The following is an 18,458-nucleotide window of genomic DNA, read 5'->3' as shown; positions in this document are numbered from 1 at the left end:
TGTTAAATTATCCATTCTGTAACTAGTACTTGGTACTCTAGTTATTTCCAATGATGTTTACTGAGTTTTAAATTTTGACCTTTCTCCCTCTCCATCTCTCTCTTCCTCTCTCCGTCATTATGAACATAGAAAATTTGCTTTATTTAATTGCTTTCAATTACTTCCATTAATTTTTATTCAATTTTTCTCATCGTTGATCAATGGAGATCCTTTATGTTTGCTTCCATGACCAATTGATACAACTCCATCAGTCCTTGAAACTTTTCTCTTTTGAGGCACATCCTAGACTCATGTTGTATGTTTTCTGCCCCAGAACTAGAATTAGCCATTTTCTCAAGGAATTCTGGTTCCATTTAGTAGGGATTGCAATAGCTCTACTTGTCTTTAGCGTGTAGTTATATCACAAATTTGATCCACAGATGTATTCATTTCAGTTTGTTTTCAATTTTAACGAGTTTTTAAATTGAATTTCATTTTTAAACACATAAAAATTATATTTTATTTTTGAATCTTTTTTCTTTTATTGGCATATAAGAATTTACATATTTATGGAATGCATGTGAGTGTCTGATAGTCAATCACACATTCCTTGCATGTAATTGGGTAATTGGGGCATCCATCAACTTGAGTATTTATCATTTTTATATGTTGGCATCATTTCAAAGTGCTCTTTTTTAGTTGCTTTGAGAAATATACATAATATTGTTGCTAACTATAGGTGCCCTAGTCTGATATCAAACATTAGAACTTATTTCTTCTATTTAACTGTATGTTTGTACCCATGACCAGCATCTTTTCAGTTCCCACTCCCATGCATCCATGCTTCTCAGTCTTTGTTATCTATTGTTCTTTCTTTATGTCCCTGAGATCAAGTTTTTTCGCTCCCACTTATGAGAACATGAGGTATTTGTCTTTCTGTGGCTGGCTTATTTCACTTAACATAATGGCTTCCAGTTTCATCCACATTGCTGCAAATAACATGATTTTATTCTTTTTTATGACCAAATAGTATTCCATTTTGTATATGTACCACATTTTCTTTATCTATTAGTCTGTTGCTGGGCACTTAATTCCATATCTTTGCTATTGTGAATAATGCTGCAATAAACATGTGAATGCAGGTATTCCTTTGATATATTGATTTCTTTTTCTTTGAATAGATACCCAGTAGTGGGATTGCTGCATCCTATGATAGCTCTATTTTTAGTTCTTTGAAAGCTTTTCATACCGTTTTCCATAGAGGTCATACTGATTTACATTCCCACCAACAATGTACAAGCGTTTTCTTTTCCCCTTATCCTTGCAAGCATCTGTTTTGTTTTGGGGGTTTTTATTTCAAATCTTTTAAGAGTAAATTATTTCTACTTAAAAATAAATCCTAAATGTCATAGGAAAATAATGATGGAGTATTAAATGAGAAAAAAACAAGCACAATATTGTTTACAGCTATCAACAGTTTGAAAATATACTTGCATGAACATAGTGTAGGCAGTTTAATAATATTTTCTGCAGATTTCATTGTGCTTGTGGCTGCGGTTTCTTTTTAATTTCTTTTTAACTTATTTGTGGTTATTATTTCATATCTCGTTCTACATAAATATTCACTTAGTCCTAGTTGTGCATTTAGTAGAGTCTCCAACGTTGTATAAGCTTTAGGCCCCACAAAACCTGGATCCCACTTTGCTCCTAACATAAGGCTAAATGACTGTAATTAAAGATTGAGGGAGAAGAGAATCAAGAAAACATATAGAAACTTCGGAAAGAGAATGGGAACTTGGTAGTGATTAATAAAATATACATAAGTTCCCTGAAAAATTAGAAAAAGTTGAATGTATATCTTTTAAAATTATGAATATTCTGTTTTTTGAATTATTTTCTCATTTATTTATAGTCCACCAATCTTTTTTAGTAGTTGAATCTGGGGGCAATAAAAGCATATAAAATAAAATGCTAAAATATAAAAGTTTAAAAGTCAAAATCCAGAATAATAAAACTTAGGTTAAGAATCCAAGGCTAAAACTTAAAAAGGACACTACTTTGCATACCATAAGAAGCAGTATAAGAGGTACCTGAACTGTAAATTCAACTCTAAATTTCTTGGTACAGAATGAACAGGGAAACATTTTCATGCACGTAGTTTTTTGGTCAAAATCAAAATCAGATCACTTTCTCAGGGGAATAAAAACTTCTCTGAGCATTTCATTGTAAACAAAATGTTGTAAGGGTCACTTTAGGGAAAAGTGAGTGATGTCATGGATAAAGTCCTCAAAATAATCTTCAGGCAAACACAGTAATCGGTTTGACTTGCCTATTTCTATGAAAGCTGCACAATATATTTATTATATATTGTGAAAGCTGTACTGGATTCATTGTTTCAGTTGCCCAAAATGAATTCCATTTTAGGGAGTGGTTCTTGGTTTCTAATTCTTTTGAAGAAATGATTGTCTCCTTTTAAGAACAGTCAGCAAATCTGGTGTCCTTATCCTCCTTATGTGGGGTATAGTAGTTAAGGTAACCAGATATAACAAAGAAACTTCAAAGTAAATGAGGTAGGAGTTCATTTCTCTCTCTCATAATACTTGCCATTTCAAGTTGGCAGATCAGCTTTGCTACAGAAAGTCATTCTAGGATCCTGATCCTTCCATATTGTTGCTCCGCCATCCCCAGGCTACTGTTTCGCTTACTGTAACAACACTGGACACCGCTAACCTGTTCCACATGTTCATGTTTCTGTATGTGGGACAGAGAAAAACAAGGCCTGGGAAGGTGACTTTATCTTTATGAGAACCTGACAGTTGTGAACATTTTTTTGTTCACATCCTATTGACTAGAACTAAGTCACATGCTCACACCTGGTTGCAAAGGAAATAAAGTCTCTAGGTGCAGAGCCTGTATACAGCTAAATCTCTGGAGTTCTGTTTTAGAAAGGAAGAAAGACAAAATACAAGTTTGGGGAAAGTTTTTACCCTCTGCCTCATCAAGGGGGTGAACGCAAGTTAACCTAAGATAAACCAATTAGACTCTCCCTCTCTGAAGCATGCATGGTGATAACACAACCAAAAAATGGTTAGAGCTAATTCACTGCAGTGTCTGAGAGTGCTAATCAGTTTATCAATTGCTGCTATCAAGGCCTTTTGGAACTTCTCCAAATCTGATTCTTTAGTCTTTTTAATCTGGGTGAGTCTTCCATAATGTCAAATACATGCCTTTTTGGTAGAGTCAGCTTCCAGTAACAAGACTGTCTCGAAGCATCAAAATACCTGTCTGTGAAGGCAATTCTGTTGGGGATAAACATTAAATAGGGTGCCAGTATGCATTTTTTCTTTCGTTCTTTAAAAAAAGTTAACTATTTTTTATTCTAAAAGTACACTTTTCTTTTATTTGATTAGAAAGGTAATATAGTTTTTGATTCTGCAATATGGAAGTATCCTAATACCCCTACTCCATTACACACAAAACACCAGAGGGACAAAGTTTTTAAAAAGTCATTGATTTGCATCAGCCAAGTCTGAGCTCTTGCATTAAATAGGTTGGTAAATGGTAAATTAATGGGAAGAAGGTAACATAAAACAATCAAACAGTTGTCTATATCTCCTGTGATAAATGTAAACTAAAACAGAAATGATTTTGGAAGTTTACTCCAGAGTAGAGATGTTTACTACATTAGCTGAGAGAACTATCCTAGTCTTCTCCATGATATGACAACAAGAAAAGGGCCAAAAATCTGGATGTGTGAATATATTGCTTATGCTAATGATAAAGATTAGTTCACAAAGTTGTATTATGTGGCATTTTTCCCCCAAGAAGTAACACTCTCAATCAACAACTGGAAGGCAAAATTGAAAATGTTTTCACAGTAATGAAAGGATCATGGTGAGGTAAATGATACAAGTGAGTCAGTTGAAAAGACTTGATTGTGGAAGCTATAAGTTATTTGAAATTCTCAATTCATTTACTTGTGATGAAAATTACAGTGTTAGAGTTAAAATGAAGGACAAAAATATCAGACATCTTTCTTCACTAAAGTAGTTATTTAAAGAATATTTCCCCGATATAGCAAAAGATGGATCAGTAGACCAGATATTCTTTCAATTCTTGATTTGGACAAGACATGTGACCTTCTAGCAAACAGACACAATTTTCAAAAGTTCCACAGAGTAGTCCTATGTATTGTATCTTACCACTTATTTGTGAAACCCTAGGATAACAAGAAGAAAAATTGTTTTAGAAACCAGAAAGCATGTTGCTACTTATATCTATATGTATTTAAAAATATTGTGACATCATGGTAAGAGAATATTTGCATGGACATTGAACCTGATAAGCTACATGAGCTGTCTTCAATTCTTTAGTTGTCGTTGTCGCTGTTTTTCCCCTCCAAACCTTTAGTACAATAAATTACCCATTAGACAATGACATGAGCATGATTTCACTTTAGGGACTATTTATTTGGTTTTGGTAATAATTTAAATTTTTTAAAAATAAAATATGCAGAGAGAACCAAATTCACATAAATGTTTATGGTAAAATGGAGGTCTCGATCTTTTCTGGCCATGGCTACTTTAAGCTATATTTTAGAGCTGGGCAAGATCTGTTTTATAGGCTGAAGTGACACAAATCCCATGATCACATGTGATCCACTGAAGTATGATAATTTGAGCATGATGTGTTTCTGAATTCTCTTTTCAGATTGTTGTATTTTCTTCTCTGGTAAGCTCTGTTTGATACTCAAAAACAGCAAATGTGAAAGAGTGCTGATGAATGTAATTACATTTGTGATTTCTAAATGCATGAGTCATGATTTCAGTATCATGTCTCTCCTAGGAAATCTTAGCTCTGCAGCGCACAGATGTCTGTGAGCTCCATCGTGTCTTTATTTATAATGTGAGCTTCTTGGGGGACATGACTAATATTTTGATGTCTCCATGATGACTAAACTCTACGTAGTGATGCCAAATTACATCTGGGGAGTAAATGAATGACTTGATGCCAACTTTAGTACAAAGAAGCAATAGCAAGAAGTCTATTATGCTGTTCACAGCTGATTTCTCACTGGTGCTACTAAACATTGAAAAAATAAATGATATACCCCATGGGACTAAAGGTTTATCTTATTCTTTAGACCCTCACAAACAAATCCCATGCTTTGTGATTTAGGTTTAGATCAGTTGATTCATGACACCTTGTTGAATGCATAGGGAGCATGTGGTAGAGTAATTCAGAACTATGGCTTGGCAGTGAGATAGACCAATCTCTGCCATTTCCATCTCTGTCATCTTAAACAATTTCTTTATCTCTCTAAGACTCAGTTTTCTCAACTGCCAAACAAGGATAATAGTAGCATAAGTCTCACTAGGTATTTGTAAAAATTAAATGGGTTAATATGTGGAAAGTGCTAAGCACTGTATCTGGCAAAAACTAAATGCTTAATAAATGATAGATGATAGTTACTACCCAGTACTATGGTGGCATACCATAGTGAGTACAAAGAAGAACCCACCTTGGCTTCTGCTCTAAGACTTTGCCATCTATTTGAATAGGCCGATATACACATAAGAAAGTAAAATCCAAAAACACGTTGAGGAAGTGTTATTGCACACCATAGGAAATGGCTACTTATAATTTCAGAGAAGAGAAAGAGCAAAGAAAATAGATGTCAGAAAAGGAATTACAAAGGGGGATGAAAATGAAGTGAGCCATAAAGAATGAACAGAATTTCAATAAACTGAGAATGAAATTTGGGTTGAAGGAAAGACACTGAGTGGACAAGAGTTTGAAAGCAGCGGTGAGCGTGGCCTGCATGTGAGGCAGTGAGGTGGAAGACTGGTTGAAGTAGGGCCTCCTTTTGAAAGCAAATGAAGATCCATTCAGCTATGAAGTGATTCTAAATAGAAAGGAAGATAGACAGGAAGAAAGTTTTATTTCTTTTACGAAAAATGAACATTTATTTTAGCACATTGAGGCAGAATATCAAAAAATATTTTTAAGGTAAAATTAATATGTATTTTATGCATTAGTATGACAAATAGCAAATTATGATGTTATGAACAGTGGAAGAAGTTGAGTTGTGATGCCATCTCCTCTGAGGACTCAGCCAATCCTACAGAGTTTGGAAGCTGGATGACCCTTGAGAATTGTTCCTAGTTGGGTGATGGGCCTGGGACTTTATACCCCACATTGAAAATCACTGGATGTAGGCCATTGTGACCATGATGTGTGACTGTGTGAGGTGGCTCCCTGAGCCAAGCCAGTCCCTAGAAGGAGCTGAGAGCTGAGGTCCACCTTCTGACAGCAATCCAGGCACCTAGGGGAATAAAAGCTCCATTTCTAGAGGAGGATTTGGACAGCACAGCACAGCATCCACTGCAGTTGTCAATACAATACTTTTAAAGGAGACAAATGTAGAATATGACAATGGTGACTTAAGGTCTAGTCTAATTATTTCACACCCATTCTTTCTATCCTTAATTCAAGACTCTTCCTTGTACAGCGTTATTATAGGAAAAAGAAATTTATACAAAAAAGCTTCTGCAGAGCAAAAGAAACTATCAGCAGAGTAAACAGGCAACCTATGGAATGGGAGAAAATTTTTGCAATCTACCCATCTGACAAAGGGCTAATATCCAGAATCTACAAAGAACTTAAACAAATTTACAAGAAAAAAACAAACAACCCCATCAAAAAGTGGGCAAAGAATATGAACAGACACTTCTCAAAAGAAGACATTTATGCAGCCAACAGGCATAGAAAAAATGCTCATCATCACTGGTCATTAGAGAAATGCAAATCAAAACTACAATGAGATACCATCTCACACCAGTTAGAATGGCGATCCTTAAAAAGTCAGGAAACATGCTGGAGAGGATATGGAGAAATAGGAACGCTTTTACACGGTTGGTGGGAGTGTAAATTAGTTCAACCATTGTGGAAGACAGTGTGGCGATTCCTCAAGAATCTAGAACTAGAAATACCATTTGACCCAGCAATCCCATTACTGTGTATATACCCAGAGGATTATAAATCATGCTACTATAAAGACACTTGCACATGTATGTTTATTGTGGCACTATTCACAACAGCAAAGACTTGGAACCAACCCAAATGCCCACCAATAATAGACTGGATAAAGAAAATATGGCACATATACACCATGGAATACTCTGAGCCATAAAAAAGGATGAGTTCATGTCCTTTGCAGGGACATGGATGAAGCTGGAAACCATCATTCTCAGCAAACATACACAGGAACAGAAAACCAAACACTGCATGTTCTCACTCATAAGTGGGAGTTGAACAATGAGAACACATGGACACAGGGAGGGGCCTGTCAGGGGGTGGGGGCTGGGGGAGGGATAGCATTAGGATAAATACTTAATGTAAACGACGAGTTGATGGGTGCAGCAAACCAACATGGCACATGTATGCCTATGTAACAAACCTGCACGTTGTGCACATGAACCCCAGAACTTAAAGTATAATAAAAAAATCACTCCAAAAAAAGTTGTGAAATTAAAATTGAAAAAAAAAACCCAAATGGTATCTCTACCATGGTTTCTTGAAAACACCAAATGTGATTTCAATTCATATACAGCAGAATCTCTTAAAATCCCTTTTCCCCATGTTTTTCTTTAATATCTCCTATAAATGTGGACTGCTTCTAATTTCCTCTCCTGACTCCCATCAGTGATTCAAACCCAGCCCTGCTGCTGTGGTCTCACCATCCCTCTTTGCAGATCTATTCCAGGCTTCTCCACTGGGTACTCTATTTGCTGTCAGCAAACATTCTTCCCACTAGTTTGTGTTCCTCTCTAATTCCATTCCATCATTACCCTGGTAATTTACAGCCAAGGTCCAAGAGCATACATGGCAGACACAATCGTATGCCGAAGGTTGTTTCCTCTCTTATCCCTGTTGTGTCCCTAACACATTACTTATCATTGGAATGATCTACTTGTGTTTAGTTTCCCCATAGTTTCTTTGTAGTGTCACTCTCAATAGATACTAAATGAATGTATTGCACATCTGTCAGCTCACCATTTACTCTGGCCATTTCTGTGGCAGCCATTTTTGCACAGGTATAACCTGGCAGCAACTTGCTTCTGTTATATCATGTGTCTCTTGATATCAGCCTCTGGGCTTCTATAATACTGTGATGCAGGACTCTGTCTTCTATTCACTTATGAACAATATGAAAGCACAGGACAGTCAGTACTCAAAAGGACAGCCCTGGACCAATGAAAGACGGAGCTGGTAAATAAGTGATCCCTTTCTCCAGTGGACAATTCTGGGGTGCACTCTATGTGGCTCATCAGAAGGACCCTGTGGGATTGAGTCCAGTTTCCCACAGTGGTGAAACGTCTGAGAAGACACTCTCGTATTGGCTTTGCCTCCTTCCTGGTCTTCCTGTTCTGTTTCCTGAACTGACTTTCCAAACAACATTTCTGCACATAAATTCTTATCTTGGTCTCTGCTTTCTGGAAGAACTGAGAGAAAAGACCAAGGCAATGAATGAGTGAATGAATGAATGAGTCACTATCGAACAGAACCCTAAGGCAGGGACAGTGTTCTCAAGTAATCAAGGAAACTGCAAGAATTAATTCTTTGATAACTTCAGAGATGTAGAAAGAGCAGTATTTTTCCATTTTTCTAACACTTAAAACACTTTAGATACAAATGCAGACCTCTAATTTAGACTCTGTGTGTGTGTGTGTGTGTGTGTGTGTGTGTGTGTGTGTGTGTTCTAGTTAGTTGGAATGCTTTAGACCTTAGAATTGAATTTCTAGATAGAGTTTCCAGACTGCTTCTGCCAAAAGAATTTGGCAGAACCTGGGGATATGTGTGTGGGGTGGAAGCAAGGAGAAAAGGGGTTAGATCTGTATCTTACAAGGCTTTTGCCAACACTGATGACTTAAAAGCAAAACTTAAATCACTATCCTTTCCTTTAGATAAAGAAATGATAAAGCAGATTATCTTGGACAATATAAATTAACTCCTGCATTTTGATAAACTACCACCTGCCTTTGAGAATTTACATAGGAGAATCAAACTTTCATATGACAAAAAAAGTTTATCAAAAATTTTTGCCATTTCCTTTCAAAGTGATTTTTTCAGACTGCTCATTTAAAGAGGCTTAATTTTTCTAAGCTATTGAAATTGGTGATGGGTGAACATGAACATGACACTGACAGCTAGAATTAGACTTCTTCTTGCAATGAGATCCAACAGTATTTTCCAGGTGCACCCACCTTCCCCTCCTCTCACTTCATACTCACGAATTTATCTCCCATATTTTCCAACATTGCTTTCTGGGTATGCATTTTAGTATCCTGAATCAAAAAAGATTAAAATTGTCTGAAAACCACACTATAAAATCAGCTATGAGTACAATACTCTATTGAAATGTGTATTTAGTAAACATGAGAAGTGCAAATGGAACTGCAATTCTTATGAATGCTGATTTGGAGGAGAGCTGCTCTACCTGCCTGCTGGCTAATCCACAAATATTTGACAATTGCTATGTGGGAACCATTGTGTTAGAGCCATAGCAATCACAAAGACCTAGAGTAATCCTTCCCCCATGATGAATTCTCCCTGTACAAAAGTTAAGCACACTGAGATTTAGTGAGTCACTCCTGTTGTTTTTCACTAGGTTTGATGGAGCTTATGCTGTTTCTCTGCTTTAGCTAGAAAGTGAAGAGACGAATCTCACTCTTTCTTCTCCTTCTTCCTTTCTTTCATCTCCCTCCCTTTCCTTTTCTCTTTTTTTCTCTCTCACTTTGCTTTTGAAGAATAAAGTATTGGAAGCAGACATGGTGGTTTCAGCAATGATTAGTGTCACATGAGATCTCCTCCAAATCAGAAGCTGTGAACTCCAGGTACTCTGATTAGGGCTAAAAGAAGCCCTGGGTTGGCAAAGGGCTGAAGCAGCCACATCTGGCAGAGGAGGGATGGGAGATGGAGAGCAGCCCTTTGTTGGGGCAGTTGCAGGGACAAGTAGCAAAGAAGACTTGCCCACAGGAGCGTTTGTCACAGGTGACATAGCCCAGCAGGGAAGTAGAACCAGAACTGTCCCCACGTACCTGTGCTTAACGCAGCTGTTCCCAGAATGCACCCCAGCATTCTAGGGCTACCACCCCAGATGCAAACTCAGTCCCAACTTGCATCAAAGAAAACACAGAATACCTGCAAAATTACTTGCATGTTAACAGGAATAAAAGTGAATAGAAGAAATGAAATAATTCACCCTTGATATGTCTCATTAAAACTTTGGAATGACTTTTCATTCCACCTGATTTTTCAGATTTTATCCTCACAGATGAAAAAAAGTTTCTAATGTCACAAAATGTTTGAATGAAGACGTAAATGACATTGAGTAACTGACATTTTCAGACACTAGGTTTTATCTTTTGGACACGAGGCAAGTTAATCTCAAGGACTCAATTGCATCTTCCAACAAAGCAGAAAAGTATCATCAAAATATTTGCAAACATGAAACGAATATTTTTTGTTTCAAGCAACAATGTTCTTGGTCTAACCTTTGAAACTTAAGGATGTCACAGTAAATACTGATCTCGCTCCATGAATAAAATTTTATTGTTGAATTTATGCAACAAATATTTATTGAGTACCTACCCTGTGCTAGGCACAAGGCTGTTAGTTGCTAGATGATTTGCTACAATATTAGGAAGACATGCAGTCAGACTTTGACCAAAATCATTTATATTTTTGTTTTGTTTTTCTTTAACAAAAAGGGTAGAGAAAATAATTCCAATACAACTCAAAGCACTGTGAAAAGACATTCGAATGAGCTTTGTAGGCAATAAGCCTAATAGAACACACACATGAAAGGGACCAAGACTTCTCTCTATGACAATCCATGGGCCTTTGGCATTTTTTTCTCTTCTCATCTTTATGACCACCACAGTAATTAAGGCAACAGTAGTGTCTTAGGATTAAAAGCAATTGGAAATTAATTTCATAGTATCTATTATTATTCACGTCAAGATGTTTAAAATGCTATTGCGACTCGTTTAATGCACTATTTTTAAGCGAAATAAAATTTAAGAGTTAAAATGTTTTATTGTAAACTTGCTCTTATGAACTTCTTTTTCTTAAACCACTTTAGGCATGATTAACATTCAGAAACGTGTACATAGTTAATGTACACAACTTGATGAGTTTGCAGATACATATACACCCATGACATTATCCCAACGATATATGCCATAAACATATCCCTAACCTCCAAAATTTTCCTCCCACCCTTTTTGTTAATTATTATTATTATTCATGTGTGTGCACACTTAAGATCTACCCTCTTAGCAAATTTTTATGTGTACAATACAGCATTGTTAACTATAGGCACTATGCTGGGCAGGAGATCTCTAGGACTTGCATAACTGAAATCTTGCACACTTTGACTAATCCCCCCATTTCATCTTCTCTCAAGCCTTGGTAATCACCATCCTGCTCTCTGCTTCTATGAGTTTGTCTATTTTTGATTCTTGATATAAGTGGTATCATGTGGTATTTGTCCTTCTGTATCTGGCTTATTTTAGTTAGTATAATTCTTCCAGGTGCACCATGTTGTAGCAAATGGCAGAATTTCCCTTTTCTTAAGACTGAATAATATTTCATTGTATGTATACACCATGTTTTCTTTATCATTTCATCCACTGATGAATATTTACATTGCTACTATGCTTTCATTATTATGAATAATGCTGCATGAAGGTGCAGATGAATGAAGATGATACATGAAGGTGAACATGGAAGTGCAGATATCTCTTTGAGATTCTGATTTTGATGCCTTTGGATATACACCTAAAAATGGGATGCCTGGATCATATTGCAGTTTCACTTTTAATTTTTTGAGGAAGTTCCATACTGCCCTCCATAAGAGCTGCACAAACTTACACACCCACCAACAATATACAAGGTTTGATTATATATGAATGGATTTATTCCTGGGCTCTTTATTCTGTTTCATTGGTCTATATGTCTGTTTTTATGCCAGTACCATACTGTATTAATCCATTCTCATGCTGCTATGAAGAAATACCCAAGACAGGGTAATTTGTAAAGGAAAGAGTTTAATTAACTCATAGTTCTGTGGGACTGGGGAGGCCTCAGAAAACTTACATTCATGGCAGAAGGGGAAGCAAACACATCCTTCTTCACATGGCAGCAGAAAGAAGAAGGGCAGAGTGAAGAGGGAGAAAAGCCCCTTATAAAATGATTAGATCTCATGATAACTTACTCACTATCACGAGAACAGCATGAGGGCAACCACACCCATGATTAAACTGTCTCCCACCAGGTCTCTCCCACAACATGTGGGGATTATGGGAACTATAATTCAAGATGAGATTTGGGTGGGGTCACAGCAAAACCATATCCTTCTGACCCAGCCCCTCCCAAATCTTGTTGTCCTTACATTTCAAAACACAATTACGCCCTTCCAACAGTCCTCCAAAGTCTTAACTCATTTCAGTATTAACTCAAAAGTCCAAGTCCAAAGCCTCATCCAAGACAAAGCAAGTCCCTTCTGCCTATGAGCCTGTAAAATCAAAAGCAAGTTAGTTACTTCCTAGATACAATGGGGGTACAGGCATTGGGTAACACACTTGTTCCGAATGACAGAAACTGGCCAAAACAATGGGACTACAGGGCCTATGCACGTCTAAAATTTAATAGGGCAGTCATTAAATTTTAAAGTTCCAAAATTATCTCCTTTGACTCTGTGTCTCATATGCAGGGCACACTGATGCAAGAGGCAGGCTCCCCTGGCCTTGGGCAGCTCTGTCCCTGTGGCTTGCAGGGTACAGCCCTGCTCCTGGCTTCTTTCACAGGCTAGTGTTGAATGTCAGCAACTTTTCCAGGCACATGGTGCAAGCTGTCAGTGGATCTACCTTTCTGGGGTCTGGAGGACAGTGGCCCTCTTCTCACAGCTCTACTAGGCAGTCCCCCAGTGGGGTCTTTGTGTGGGGGCTCTGACCCCACATTTCCCTTCCATGCTACCCTAGAAGAGGTTCTCCATCAGGACTCTGCCCCCTGCAGCAACTTCTGCCCGGATGTCCAGGCATTTCCATACATCCTCTGAAATCTAGGGAGAGGTTCCCAAACCTCAGTTCTTGACTTCTGTGCACCTACAAGCTCAACACCACATGTAAGCCACCAAGGCTTGTGGCTTGCACCCTCTGAAGCAACAGGCTGAGCTGTACATTGACCCCTTTTAGCCACAGCAGGGACACAGGGCACCATGTCCCAAGGCTGCACAGAGCAGGGAGACCTGAGCCCAGCCCATGAAACCATTTTTCTCTCCTAGGCCTCCGGGTCTGTGATGGGAGGGGCTGCCATGAAGGTCTCTGACATACCCTGGGAACATTTTTCCCATTGTCTTAATGATTAGCATTTGGCTCCTTGTTACTTATGCAAATTTTTGTAGCCGGCTTGAATTTCTTCCCAGAAAACCAGGTTTTCTTTATCACATCATCAGTCTGCAAATTTTCCAAACTTTCATGTTTTCTCCCTCTTGAATGCTTTGCCACTTAGAAATTTCTTCCACCAGATATGCTAAATCATCTCTCTCAAGTTCAAAGTTCCACAGATCTCTAGGGCAGGGACAAAATGCTGCCCCTCTTTGCTAAAACATAGCAAGAATCACCTTTATTCCAGTTTCCAACAAGTTCCTCATCTCCATCTGATATCACCTCAGCCTAGACTTTATTGTCCATATCACTATCAGCATTTTGGCCAAAGCAATTCAACAGGTATCTAGGATGTTCCAAACTTTCCCACATTTTCCTGTATTCTTCTGAGCTCTCCAAACTGTTCCAGCCTCTGCCTGTTACCCAGTTCCAAAGTCCCTTCCATATTTTTGGGTAGCTTTATGGCAGTGCCCCACTCTCTGTGGTAGCAATTCACTGTATTAGTCTGTTCTCATGCTGCTGTGAAGAAATACCCAAGACTGCATAATTTATAAAGGAAAGATGTTTAATTGACTCACAGTTCTGCAGGGCTGGAAGGCCTCAGCAAACTTAAAATCATAGCAGAAGGGGATGCAAATATGTCCTTATTCACATGGTGGCAGCAAAGAGAAGTGCAGAAGAAGCGGGGGGAATGTCCCTTATAAAACCATCAGATCTCATGATAACTCACTCACTATCATGAGAACAGCATAAGGGTAACTGCACCCATGATTAAGTTACCTCCCACCAGGTCTCTCCCGTGATATATGGGGATTATGGGAACAATTCAAGATGAGATTTGGGTTGGGACACAACCAAACCGTATCACATACTGTTTTGATTAGTCTAGCTTTGTAACGTATTTTTATATAAGCAAACATACTGTCTCCAGATTTTTTTTCTTTTAGAAACAGAGTCCTGCTCTGTCACCCAGGCTGGAGTAGAGTGGCATGATCTTAGCTCACTGCAGCCTCCACCAGTGAGCTCAAGTGATCCTCCCACCTCAGCTGGGACTATAGGTGTGTACCACCACACCCAGCACATTTTTTATGTTTTATTTTTGTAGAGACAGGACCTCATTATTTTGCCCAGGCTGGTTGTGAACTCCTGGACTCAAGCAATTATACCATCTCAGCCTCAAAAATTGCTGGGATTATAGGCCTGAGACATGGAGCCTGGCCTCCAGATTTCTTCTTGCTCAAAATTGCTTTGGTGATTCAGGGTCTTTTGTGGTTCCACATAAATTTTAGATTCCCATATAATAAATGGTGCTGGGAGAACTGGCTAGCCATATGCAGAAAATTGAAACTGGACCCCTTCCTTACACCTTGTACAAAAATTAACTCAAGACAGATTAAAGATTTAAAGGTAAAACTCAAAGCTATAAAAACCCTGGAAGAAAATCTAGGTGATACCATTCACGACACAGGCACAGACAAAGATTTCATGATGAAATTGCCAAAAGCAATTGCAACAAAAATAAAAATTGACAAATGGTATCTAATTAAACTGAGGAGCTTCTGCGCAGCAAAAGAAACTATCATCAGAATGAACAGGCAACCTACAGAACAGAAGAAAATTTTTGCAATCTACCTATCTGACAAAGGTGTAATATCCAGAATCTACAAGGAACTTAAACAAATTTACAAGATAAAAACATGCAACCTCATTAAAAAGTGGGCAAAAGATAAGAACAGACACTTCTCAAAAGATGTTCATGTGGCCAACAAACATGAAAAGAAGCTCAACATCACTGAACATTAGAGAAATGCAAATCAAAACCACAATGAGATACCATCTCATGTCAGTCAGAATGGCGATTATTAAAAAGTCAAGAAACAGCAGATGCTGGTGAGGTTGAGTAGAAATAGGAACGCTTTTACACTGTTGGTGGGTGGGAATGTAAATTAGTTCAACCATTGTGGAAGACAGTGTGGCAATTCCTCAAAGATCTAGAACCAGAAGTACCATTTGACCCAGCAATCTCATTATTATATACCTTAGGGTATATACCTCATCATTATATACCTTAGAGTATATACCCTAAGGAATATAAATAATTCTACTACAAAGATTCATGCACACATCTGTTCATTGCAGCACACTATTCACAATAGCAAAGAAATGGAATCAACCCAAATGCTCATCAATGGTAGACTGAAAAAAGAAAATGTACATATACACCATGGAATACTATGCAGCCATAAAAAGGAGATCATGTCCTTTGCAGGCACATGGATAGAGCTGGAAGCAATTATCCTCAGCAAGCTAATGCAGGAACAGAAAACCAAACACCACGTGTTCTCACTTACAAGTGGGAGCTGAACAATGAGAACACGTAGACGGCACAGGGAGGGGAACAACATACACTGGGACCTCTTGGAGAGTGGGGTCGGGGGAGGGAGAGCATTGGGAAAAATAGCTAATGCATGCTGGGCTCAATACCTAGGTGATAGGTTGATAGGTGGAGCAAACCACCACGGCACATGTTTACCTATGTAACAAACCTGCACATCCTGCACATATACTCTGGAACTTCAAATTAAAATTAATAAAAAATATAAATTTTTAAAAATGCCATTCAACTTTTAATAGGGATTGCACTGAATCTGCAAATCACGTTGGGTAATATAAACATTTTAACAACATTAATTCTTCTAATCTATGAACATTGATTTATTTCCATTTATTTGTATCTGCTTTAATTTCTTTCATCAGTACTGTATAGCTTTCAATGTACAAGTTTTCAGTGCACCTCACTGAGTAAGCTTATTCCTAAGATTTTTATGATTTTTGATGCTATTGTAAAAGGTAAAGTTTCTTAATTTCCTTTTTGGATAGTGTGCTGTGTCTAGAAATGTAACTGATTTTTGTATGTTGATTTTGTATCCTGCAACTTTACTGAATTTGTTTATTATTTCTAACCTTTTTTTGTAAAATATTTAGGGTTTTCTATATATGAGATCATGTCATCTGCAAACAGAGATAATTTTATTCTTCTGTTTTTATTTAGATGACATTTATTTATTTCTTCTTTCTTAATTGCTCTAGCTAGGACTTCCAGTACAATATTTAACAGAAGTGTCAAAAGTGAACATCCTTACCTTGTTCCAGATCTTAGAGGAAAAGATTTTAGATTTTCACTAAATTAACACAATTAACACAATTCACTTGTTAACTGTGGGCTTTTTAAATACAGCCTTTATTGTGTTGAAATAAGTTCCTTCTATATGTAACTTGTCTGTATTGAAAGGGTGTTGAGTTTTGCCAAATGCATTTTTTGCATCTTTTGAGATAATTGTTTGATTTTTATCCTTTATTCCATTAAGACATAATTGAAACTCCCATTGAACAGCTACTTCCCATTTCCCACTTGCCCTGCCCCTGGCCAACACCGTTTTACTCTCTGAGGATAAGTTTGGCTATTTTAAATATGCAGTCTGTTTTCTATGGAGGATATAGCATCAGGCCCAAATAAGCTTTAAATGTGAATTGGAGAAGGCTTTCTCAAACTTAAGAGTTTTTAAAGTTAGTATATTTTTAATATATCTATAAGAAGTAAAATAAATATAAAATCATTTTTGTAAATTTTCAAATTATACAAATCAAAATAGTAAACATAAAATCACAAAATTTTCACATAATGAAAATTTTAGTCACAATAATTAGGAACTCAGAATTACAAGATATATGATAAAATAGTTATAACTCTCACTTTCATATTCTTTCATAAAGAATAAACAAAATTCTTTATGACTGCTTCAATGTTGACTTGTGCTCTTTATGTACAGTAAAAAATATTTCATTTAAAGGTCTTCTTTCATGGCATTCTTCTTGCAAAACATACAAAGAGATTTGGGGTTCAATAATTGGCCTTCATGAAGCTCCACTAAAACCAACCAATTCTGAACTCACATGTAAAGATTTCGTTTAACCAACCAATCATTTTTCCTTGTGAAAATTTCTGAGTTTTGCTCTTGTGAGTTCTACCCTTGTCTTTGTGTTTTCTTCTGCATAAATAAACCCTCAATGTTTTAAAGTAATTTCTAAGTTTGGAGTTATTCTTTAACAGTTAATCCAAACACATCTTCCTGCAGACCTGCCCTCTCTGAGTTAAATCAGATTTTCTCTGTCCTCTTAGACAGAAACCATGGCAAAGCACTTGTTCAGTCTCCAAGTCATTATGTTTTACTGGTAGAGTTTAATCATAATTCTTAAATTAAATGTCATCAAGGATATTAAAAAGGCCACACATTTTTTATGATCATACACCTGTTTATTTAAGATGATATTGTTGTGTACAAAAAAATTATTTTAAAATTTAGTTTTAAATTGTAAATAATGGGGTTTGATGTCAAAATGTCTTCCCTTTTCTAACATTTTCTATGTTGGAGAAATTCACATAATTGTAAAAATACAAGATTTTTGGCATCAACGATATAGACTTCATAAATATTATCATGTCTATCTTTTTAATATTCTGAATTATTTTGCTGCTTTCAAGGACATTATCTGTAGAGAATTTTGATTAACACATCATTTCACTTAAAACATTGAGGCCCATTAGAACTTAGAAAATACATTTCAATAAATACAGCTTTGAAATACTTTTGGCTTGTATTCTGTAATTTTCATCTTTATTAATATCACAAACAGTTTCTATAGGAGCACACACTGCATCTAATTGAGTTTTAATGGCATAATGGCAATGACTGGACTTTCTCATTGTGTATTCTGTAATGGTTCAAATTTGCATTTAGTAAATATGTTTTCAAAACATTTCAATATTTCATTGAAGCCAATGAGTAGTAATTATATAGCATTTCAATAATTTCAGAAAAGAAAAACTGATAGTAGAAGAGATTTATGCTTCATTTTTTGGTACCAAGTTTAAAGAATATATAGAACAAGAAATTTAGAATGCCTTCAAATATTTTTCAAGAATCTTTTGTAGCAATCATTATGTTTTCCATGTTTTCAAATTCGGAT

At 36.8% G+C, this 18,458-nt stretch overlaps 2 long non-coding RNA genes across 2 annotated transcripts in view, besides 1 other annotated feature; one reads left to right on the top strand and one right to left on the bottom strand.

The window, feature by feature from the left end:
* Positions 1-18,458, top strand: part of LINC02388 (long intergenic non-protein coding RNA 2388) — a 215,758-nt gene that overhangs the window by 26,214 nt on the left and 171,086 nt on the right. The window lies entirely within an intron of this gene.
* LOC100506869 (uncharacterized) overlaps positions 1-18,458 on the bottom strand; it is a 220,968-nt gene that overhangs the window by 57,167 nt on the left and 145,343 nt on the right. The gene's annotated exons all lie outside the window — the stretch shown is intronic.
* Positions 14,037-14,206: an enhancer, noted in NCBI's record as "experimental_30105 CRE fragment used in MPRA reporter constructs". NCBI's record gives its function as "activates a minimal promoter by MPRAs in K562 erythroleukemia cells, with activity observed for the introgressed 12:59135164 variant allele {active_cell/tissue: K562}" and the evidence as "EXISTENCE:reporter gene assay evidence [ECO:0000049][PMID:34662402]".

The sequence above is a fragment of the Homo sapiens genome, chromosome 12, assembly GCF_000001405.40.
Source record: "Homo sapiens chromosome 12, GRCh38.p14 Primary Assembly".
In the NCBI taxonomy this organism is placed as follows: domain Eukaryota; kingdom Metazoa; phylum Chordata; class Mammalia; order Primates; family Hominidae; genus Homo; species Homo sapiens.
The sequence above is the reverse complement of the archived record's forward strand: the minus strand, read 5'-3'. Positions and strand labels throughout refer to the sequence as shown.